The sequence below is a fragment of the Homo sapiens genome, chromosome 1 (assembly GCF_000001405.40).
Source record: "Homo sapiens chromosome 1, GRCh38.p14 Primary Assembly".
NCBI lineage: Eukaryota > Metazoa > Chordata > Mammalia > Primates > Hominidae > Homo > Homo sapiens.
Window position 1 is genome coordinate 125,173,584 of NC_000001.11, and position 11,004 is coordinate 125,184,587.

Genomic DNA, 11,004 nt, shown 5'->3' on the forward strand with positions numbered 1-11,004 from the left:
TTCGATGATTCTCTTCGATTCCATTCGATAATTCCGTTTGATTCCGTTTGATGTTGATTCCATTCGAGTCCATTCGATGATAATTCCATTCGATTGTATGCGATGATTCCTTTCCTTTCCATTGGAAGATGATTCCATTCGAGACCATTCGATGATTGCATTCAATTCATTCGTTGAAGATTCCATTCAATTCCGTTCAATGATTCCATCAGATTCCATTTGATGATGATTCCATTCGATTCCATTTGATGATGATTCCATGCGATTCCATTAGATGATGACTCCTTTCAATTTCATTCGATGATGATTCCATTCGATTCGATCCGATGATGATTCCATTCGATTCCGTTCAATGATTATTCCATTCAAGTCCATTCGATGATTCCATTCGATTCTATTCGATGATTATTGTATTCGAGTCCATGGATTCTTCCATTCCATTCCATTAGATGATTCCATTCCAGTCCATTCGATGATTCTCTTCGATTCCATTCGATAATTCCGTTTGATTCCGTTTGATGTTGATTCCATTCGAGTCCATTCGATGATAATTCCATTCGATTCTATGCGATGATTCCATTCCATTCCATTTGGAGGTGGTTCCATTTGAGACCATTCGTTGATTGCATTCAATTCATTCGATGACGATTCCATTCAATTCCGTTCAATGATTCCATTAGATTCCATTTAATGATGATTCCATTCAATTCCATTTGATGATGATTCCATGCGATTCCATTAGATGATGACTCCTTTCATTTCCATTCAATGAGGATTCCATTCGGTTCCATTTGATGATGATTTCAATCAATTTCATTTGATGACAATTCCATTCAATCCATTCGAAGATGAGTCCATCCATTTCAATTTCATGATAATTCCATTCGTTTCAATTCGATGGTGTTTCCATTCGATTCCATTCGATGTTGATTCCATGAATTTCCATTGGATGATGATTCCGTTCGAGTCCATTCGATGATGATCACATTGGATTTCATTCAATAATTCTATTCGATTCCATTGATGATGATTCCATCTGATTCCATTTGATGATTCCATTCGATTCCATTCGATGATGATTCCATTCGCTTCCATCATAAGATGATTCCATTCGATTCGGTTCAATGATTATTCCATTCGAGTCCAATCCATGATTCCATTCGATTCCGTTCGATGATGATTGCGTTCGAGTCCATGGATAATTCCATTCCATTCCATTAGATGATTCCATTCGAGTTCCTTCGACGATTCTCTTCGATTCCATTAGATAATTCCGTTTGATTCCGTTTGATGTTGATTCCATTCGAGTCCATTGGATGATATTTCCATTCAATTCTATGCGATGATTCCATTCCATTCAATTTGAAGATGATTCTATTCGAGACCATTTGATGATTGCATTCAATTCATTCGATGACGATTCCTTTCAATTCCGTTCAATGATTCCATTATATTCCATTTGATGATGATTCCATTCGATTCCATTTGATGATGATTCCATGCGATTCCATTAGATGATGACTCCTTTCATTTCTATTCAATGAGGATGCCTTTCGGTTCCATTAGATGATGATTCCTTTGAATTCCATTTGATGACAATTCCATTCAATACCAATTGATGATGACTATTTTTGATTCCATTTGATGATGATTACATTCGATTCCATTTGATCATGTTTACATTCGATTCCACTCGAGGATTCCATTAGATTACATTCAATGATGATTCCATTCGAGTTCATTGACTATTCCATTCCACTCCATTCGATGATACCATTCGAGTCCATTCGATGATTCTATTCGATTGCATTTGATTATTCCATTCGATTGCATTCGATAATTCCATTCGATTCCATTTGAGGATAATTCCATTTGAGTCCATTCGATGATTGTTCCATTCGATTCTATTCGGTGATTCCATTCGATTCCATTTGATAATGATTCCATTCGAGACCATTCGATGATTCCATTCAATTCCATTCAATAATGATTCCATTCGAGTCCATTCAATGATTCCATTCAAGTCCATTCGATGATTCCATCTGATTCCATTCAATGAATCCATTCGATTCCATCCTATGATGATTCCATTCATTTCCATCTGATGATGATTCCATTCGATTCCATTCAATGATTCCATTCGATTCCATTTGAGGATGATTTCAATCAATTTCATTCGATGATTCCATTCGAATCCATTAGATGATGAGTCCATCCATTTCAATTTCATGATAAATCCATTCGTTTCAATTCGATGGTGTTTCCATTCGATTCCATTCGATGTTGATTCCATTAGTTTCCATTGGTTCATGATTCCATTCAAGTCCATTCGATGATGATCACATTGGATTTCATTCCATAATTCTATTCGATTCCATTTGATGATGATTCCATCTGATTCCTTTTGAGGATCCCATTCGATTCCATTCGATGATGATTCCATTCGTTTCCATCCGATGATGATTCCATTCGATTCCGTTCAATGATTATTCCATTCGAGTCCATTCGATGATTCCATTCGATTCCATTTGATGATTATTCCATGCGATTCCATTAGATGATGACTCCTTTCATTTCCATTCAATGAGGATTCCATTCGGTTCCATTTGATGATGATTCCTTTGAATTCCGTTTGATGACAATTCCATTCGATACCAATTGATGATGGTTATTTTGATTCCATTTGATGATTATTACTTTCGATTCCATTTGATCATGATTCCATTCGATTCCACTCGATGATTCCATTCAATGATGATTCAAATCGAGTTCATTTACTATTCCATTCCATTTCAATCGATGATTCCTTTCAAATCCATTCGATGATTCTGTTCGATTGCATTCGATAATTCCATTCGATTCCATTTGAGGACAATTCCATTTGAGTCCATTCGATGATTGTTCCATTCGATGCTATTCGGTGATTCCATTCGATTCCATTTGATAATGATTCCTTTCGAGACCATTCGATGATTCCATTCAATTCCATTCAATAATGATTCCATTCGAGTCCATTCAATGATTCCATTCAAGTCCATTCAATGATTCCATCTGATTCCATTCAATGAATCCATTGGATTCCATTCTATGATGATTCCATTCATTTCCATCTGATGATGATTCCATTTCATTCCATTCAATGATTCCATTCATTTCCATCTGATGATGATTTCATTCGATTCCATTCAATGATTCCTTTCGATTCCATTGGATGATGATTTCAATCAATTTCATTCGATGATTCCATTCGAATCCATTCGATGATGAGCCCATCCATTTCAATTTCATGATAAATCCATTCGTTTCAATTCGATGGTGTTTCCATTCGATTCCATTCGATGTTGATTCCATTAGGTTCCATTGAATGATGATTCCATTCGAGTCCATTCGATGATGATCACAATGGATTTCATTCCATAATTCTATTCGATTCCATTTGATGATGATTCCATCTGATTCCATTTGATGATTCCATTCGTTTCCATCCGATGATGATTCCATTCGATTCCGTTCAATGATTATTCCATTCGAGTCCATTCGATTATTCCATTCGATTCCATTCGATGATGATTGCATTCGAGTCCATGGATTCTTCCATTCCATTCCATTACATGATTCCATTCGAGTCCATTCGATGATTCTCTTCGATTCCATACGATAATTCCGTTTGATTCCGTTTGAGGTTGATTCCATTCGAGTCCATTCGATGATAATTCCATTCGATTCTATGCGATGATTCCATTCCATTCCATTTGGAGGTGGTTCCATTCGAGACCATTCGTTGATTGCATTCAATTCATTCGATGTCCATTCCATTCAATTCCGTTCAATGATTCCATTAGATTCCATTTGATGATGATTCCATTCGATTCCATTTGATGATGATTCCATGCGATTCCATTAGATGATGACTCCTTTCATTTCCATTCAATGAGGATTCCATTCGATTCCACTCGATGATTCCATTCAATGATGATTCCATTCGAGTTTATTGACTATTCCATTCCATTTCAATCGATGATTCCATTCAAGTCCGTCCGATGATTCTATTTGATTGCATTCAATTATTCCATTCGATTGCATTCGATAATTCCATTCGATTCCATTGGAGGATAATTCCATTTGAGTCCATTCGATGATTGTTCCATTCGATTCTATTCGGTGATTCCATTCGATTCCATTTGATAATGATTCCATTCGAGTCCATTCAATGATTCCATTCAAGTCCATTCGATGATTCCATCTGATTCCATTCAATGAATCCATTCGATTCCATTCTATGATGATTCCATTCATTTCCATCTGATGATGATTCCATTCGATTCCATTCAATGACTCCATTCGATTCCATTTGATGATGATTTCAATCAATTTCATTCGATGATTCCATTCGAATCCATTCGATGATGAGTCCATCCCTTTCAATTTCATGATAATTCCATTCGTTTCAATTCGATGGTGGTTCCATTCGATTCCATTCGATGTTGATTCCATTAGTTTCCATTGGATGATGATTCCATTCGAGTCCATTCAATGATGATCACATTGGATTTCATTCCATAATTCTATTCGATTCCATTTGATGATGATTCCATCTAATTCCATTTGATGATCCCATTCGATTCCATTCGATGATGATTCCATTCGTTTCCATCCGATGATGATTCCATTCGATTCCGTTCAATGATTATTCCATTCGAGTCCATTCGATGATTCCATTCGATTCCATTCGATGATGATTGCATTCGAGTCCATGGATTCTTCCATTCCATTCCATTAGATGATTCCATTCGAGTCCGTTCGATGATTCTCTTCGATTCCATTCGATAATTCCGTTTGATTCCGTTTGATATTGATTCCATTCGAGTCCATTCGATGATAATTCCATTCGATTCTATGCGATGATTCCATTCCATTCCATTTGGAGGTGGTTCCATTCGAGACCATTCGTTGATTGCATTCAATTCATTCGATGACGATTCCATTCAATTCCGCTCAATGATTCCATTAGATTCCATTTGATGATGATTCCATTCGATTCCATTTGATGATGATTCCATGCGATTCCATTAGACGATGACTCGTTTCATTTCCATTCAATGAGGATTCCATTCGGTTCCATTTGATGATGATTCCTTTGAATTCCGTTTGATGACAATTCCATTCGATACCAATTGATGATGTTTATTTTTGATTCCATTTGATGATGATTACTTTCGATTCCATTTGATCATGATTCCATTCGATTCCACTCGATGATTCCATTCGATTCCATTCAATGATGATTCCATTCGAGTTCATTGACTGTTCCATTCCATTCCATTCGATGATTCCATTCGAGTCCATTCGATGATTCTATTCGATTGCATTCGATAATTCCATTCGATTGCATTCGATAATTCCATTCGATTCCATTGGAGGATAATTCCATTTGAGTCCATTCGATGATTGTTCCATTCGATTCTATTCGGTGATTCCATTCGATTCCATTTGATAATGATTCCAATCGAGACCATTCGATGATTCCATTCAATTCCATTCAATAATGATCCCTTTCGAGTCCATTCAATGATTCCATTCCAGTCCATTCGATGATTCCATCTGATTCCATTCAATGAATCCATTCGATTCCATTCTATGACGATTCCATTCATTTCCATCTGATGATGATTCCATTCGATTCCATTCAATGATACCATTCGATTCCATTCGATGATGATTTCAATCAATTTTATTCGATGATTCCATTCGAATCCATTCGATGATGAGTCCATCCATTTCAATTTCATGGTAATTCCATTCGTTTCAATTCGATGGTGTTTCCATTTGATTCATTCGATGTTGATTCCATTAGCTTCCGTTGGATGATGATTCCATTCGGGTCCATTCGATGATGATCATTCTGGATTTCATTCCATAATCTATTCGATTCCATTCGATGATGATTCCATTCATTTCCACCCGATGATGATTCCATTCGATTCCGTTCAATGATTATTCCATTCGAGTCCATTCGATGATTCCATTCGATTCCATTCGATGATGATTGCATTCGAGTCCATGGATTATTCCATTCCATTCCATTAGATGATTCCATTCGGGTCCATTCGATGATTCTCTTCGATTCCATTCGATAATTCCGTTTTTTTCCGTTTGATGTTGATTCCATTCGATTCCATTCGATGATAATTCCATTCGATTCTATGCGATGATTCCATTCCATTCCATTTGAAGATGATTCCATTCGAGACCATTCGATGATTGCATTCAATTCATTCGATGACGATTCCATTCAATTCCGTTCAATGATTCCATTTGATTCCATTTGATGTTGATTCCATTCGATTCCATTTTATGATGATTCCATGAAATTCCATTAGATGATGACTCCTTTCATTTCCATTCGATGATGATTCCATTCGTTTCCATCCGATGATGATTCCATTCGATTCCGTTCAATGATTATTCCATTCGAGTCCATTCGATGATTCCATTCGATTCCATTCGATGATGATTGCATTCGAGTCCATGGATTATTCCATTCCATTCCATTAGATGATTCCATTCGGGTCCGTTCGAAGATTCTCTTCGATTCCATTCGATAATTCCGTTTTTTTCCGTTTGGTGTTGATACCATTCGATTCCATTCGATGATAATTCCATTCGATTCTATGCGATGATTCCATTCCTTTCCATTAGAAGATGATTCCATTCGAGACCATTCGATGATTGCATTCAATTCATTCGATGACGATTCCATTCAATTCTGTTCAATGATTCCATTAGATTCCATTTGATGATGATTCCATTCGATTCCATTTGATGATGATTCCATGCGATTCCATTAGATGATGACCCCTTTCATTTCCATTCAATGAGGATTCCATTCGGTTCCATTTGATGATGTTTCCTTTGAATTCCATTTGATGACAATTCCATTCAATACCAATTGATGATGGTTATTTTTGATTCCATTTGATGATGATTACATTCGATTCCATTTGATCATAATTCCATTCGATTCCACTCGATGATTCCATTCGATTCCATTCAATGATGATTCCATTCGAGTTCATTGACTGTTCCATTCCATTCCATTCGATGATTCCATTCGAGTCCATTCGATGATTCTATTCGATTGCATTCGATAATTCCATTCGATTGCATTCGATAATTCAATTCGATTCCATTGGAGGATAATTCCATTTGAGTCCATTCGATGATTGTTCCATTCGATTCTATTCGGTGATTCCATTCGATTCCATTTGATAATGATTCCAATCGAGACCATTCGATGATTCCATTCAATTCCATTCAATAATGATTCCATTCGAGTCCCATTCAATGATTCCATTCAAGTCCATTCGATGATTCCATCTGATTCCATTCAATGAATCCATTCGATTCCATTCTATGATGATTCCATTCATTTCCATCTGATGATGATTCCATTCGATTCCATTCAATGATTCCATTCGATTCCGTTTGATGATGATTTCAATCAATTTCATTCGATGATTCCATTCGAATCCATTCGATGATGAGTCCATCCATTTCAATTTCATGAAAAATCCATTCGTTTCAATACGATGGTGTTTCCATTCGATTCCATTCGATGTTGATTCCATTAGTTTCCATTGGATGATGATTCCATTCGAGTCCATTCGATGATGATCACAATGGATTTCATTCCATCATTCTATTCGATTCCATTTGATGATGATTCCGTCTGATTCCATTTGATGATTCCATTCGTTTCCATCCGATGATGATTCCATTCGATTCGGTTCAATGATTATTCCATTCGAGTCCATTCGATGATTCCATTCGATTCCATTCGATGATGATTGCATTCGAGTCCATGGATTCTTCCATTCCATTCCATTAGATGATTCCATTCGAGTCCGTTCGATGATTCTCTTCGATTCCATTCGATAATTCCGTTTGATTCCGTTTGATGTTGATTCCATTCGAGTCCATTCGATGATAATTCCATTCGATTCTATGCGATGATTCCATTCCATTCCATTTGGAGATGGTTCCATTCGAGACCATTCGTTGATTGCATTCAATTCATTCGATGACGATTCCATTCAATTCCGTTCAATGATTCCATTAGATTCCATTTGATGATGATTCCATTCGATTCCATTTGATGATGATTCCATGCGATTCCATTAGATGATGACTCCTTTCATTTCCATTCAATGAGGATTCCATTCGGTTCCATTTGATGATGATTCCTTTGAATTCCATTTGATGACAATTCCATTCAATACCAATTGATGATGGTTATTTTTGATTCCATTTGATGATGATTACATTCGATTCCATTTGATCATGATTCCATTCGATTCCACTCGATGATTCCATTCAATCATGATTCCATTCGAGTTCATTGACTGTTCCATTCCATTCCATTCGATGATTCCATTCGATTCCATTCGATGATTCTATTCGATTGCATTCGATAATTCCATGCGATTGCATTCGATAATTCCATTCGATTCCATTGGAGGATAATTCCATTTGAGTCCATTCGATGATTGTTCCATTCGATTCTATTCGGTGATTCCATTCGATTCCATTTGATAATGATTCCAATCGAGACCATTCGATGATTCCATTCAATTCCATTCAATAATGATCCCTTTCGAGTCCATTCAATGATTCCATTCCAGTCCATTCGATGATTCCATCTGATTCCATTCAATGAATCCATTCGATTCCATTCTATGACGATTCCATTCATTTCCATCTGATGATGATTCCATTCGATTCCATTCAATGATACCATTCGATTCCATTCGATGATGATTTCAATCAATTTTATTCGATGATTCCATTCGAATCCATTCGATGATGAGTCCATCCATTTCAATTTCATGATAATTCCATTCGTTTCAATTCGATGGTGTTTCCATTCGATTCATTCGATGTTGATTCCATTAGCTTCCGTTGGATGATGATTCCATTCGGGTCCATTCGATGATGATCACACTGGATTTCATTCCATAATTCTATTCGATTCCATTCGATGATGATTCCATTCATTTCCATCCGATGATGATTCCATTCGATTCCGTTCAATGATTATTCCATTCGAGTCCATTCGATGATTCCATTCGATTCCATTCGATGATGATTGCATTCGAGTCCATGGATTCTTCCATTCCATTCCATTAGATGATTCCATTCAAGTCCGTTCAATGATTCTCTTCGATTCCATTCGATAATTCCGTTTTTTTCCGTTTGATGTTGATTCCATTCGATTCCATTCGATGATAATTCCATTCGATTCTATGCGATGATTCCATTCCATTCCATTTGAAGGTGATTCCATTCGAGACCATTCGATGATTGCATTCAATTCATTCGATGACGATTCCATTCAATTCCGTTCAATGATTCCATTTGATTCCATTTGATGTTGATTCCATTCGATTCCATTTTATGATGATTCCATGCAATTCCATTAGATGATGACTCCTTTCATTTCCATTCGATGATGATTCCATTCGTTTCCATCCGATGATGATTCCATTCGATTCCGTTCAATGATTATTTCATTCGAGTCCATTCGATGATTCCATTCGATTCCATTCGATGATGATTGCATTCGAGTCCATGGATTATTCCATTCCATTCCATTAGATGATTCCATTCGAGTCCATCGATGATTCTCTCGATGCCATCGATATCGTTGATCCGTTTGATGTGATGCATCGAGTCCATTCGATGATAATTGCATTCCATTCTATGTGATGATTCCATTCCATTCCATTTGGAGGTGGTTCCATTCGAGACCATTCGTTGATTGCATTCAATTCATTCGATGACGATTCCATTCCATTCCGTTCAATGATTCCATTAGATTCCATTTGATGATGATTCCATTCGATTCCATTTGATGATGATTCCATGCGATTCCATTAGATGATGACTCCTTTCATTTCCATTCAATGAGGATTCCATTCGGTTCCATTTGATGATGATTCCTTTGAATTCCATTTGATGACAATTCCATTCAATACCAATTGATGATGGTTATTTTTGATTCCATTTGATGATGATTACATTCGATTCCATTTGATCATGATTCCATTCGATTCCACTCGATGATTCCATTCGATTCCATTCAATGATTATTCCATTTGAGTCGATTCGATGACTCCATTCGATTGTATTCGATGGTGATTGAATTCGAGTCCATGGATTAATCCATTGCATTCCATTCGATGATTCCATTCGAGTCCATTCGATGATTCTATTCGATTGCATTCGATAATTCCATTCGATTGCATTCAATAAATCCATTTGATTCCATTTGAGGATAATTCCATTTGAGTCCATTCGATGATGGTTCCATTCGATTCTATTCGGTGATTCCATTCGACTTCATTTGATAATTATTCCATTCGAGACCATTCGATGATTCTATTCAATTCCATTCAATAATGATTCCATTCGAGTCCATTCAACGATTCCATTCAAGTCCATTCGATGATTCCATCTGATTCCATTGAATGAATCCATGAGATTACATTCTATGATCATTCCATGCATTTCCATCTGATGATGATTCCATTCGATTCCATTCAATGATTCCTTTCGATTCCATTTGATGATGATTTCAATCAATTTCATTCGATGATTCCATTCGATTCCATTCGATGTTGATCCATTAGTTTCCATTGGATGATGATTCCATTCGAGTCCATTCAATGATGATTATATTGGATTTCATTCCATAATTCTATTCGATTCCATTTGATAATGATTCCATCTGATTCCATTTGATGATCCCATTCGATTCCATTCGATGATGATTCCATTCGTTTCCATCCGATGATGACTCCATTCGATTCCGTTCAATGATTATTCCATTCGAGTCCATTCGATGATTCCATTCGATTCCATTCGATGATGATTGCATTCGAGTCCATGGATTCTTCCATTCCATTCCATTAGATGATTCCATTCGAGTCCGTTCGATGATTCTCT

The 11,004-nt window shown here is 36.6% G+C and overlaps 1 annotated feature.

Moving 5' to 3' along the window:
• Nucleotides 1–11,004: part of a centromere (Linear centromere model derived predominantly from reads generated in PMID: 17803354. This region does not represent an actual centromere sequence, as long-range ordering of repeats and unmapped WGS contigs is not provided by the model. For details of model production, see http://arxiv.org/abs/1307.0035.) that runs on past the window's edge.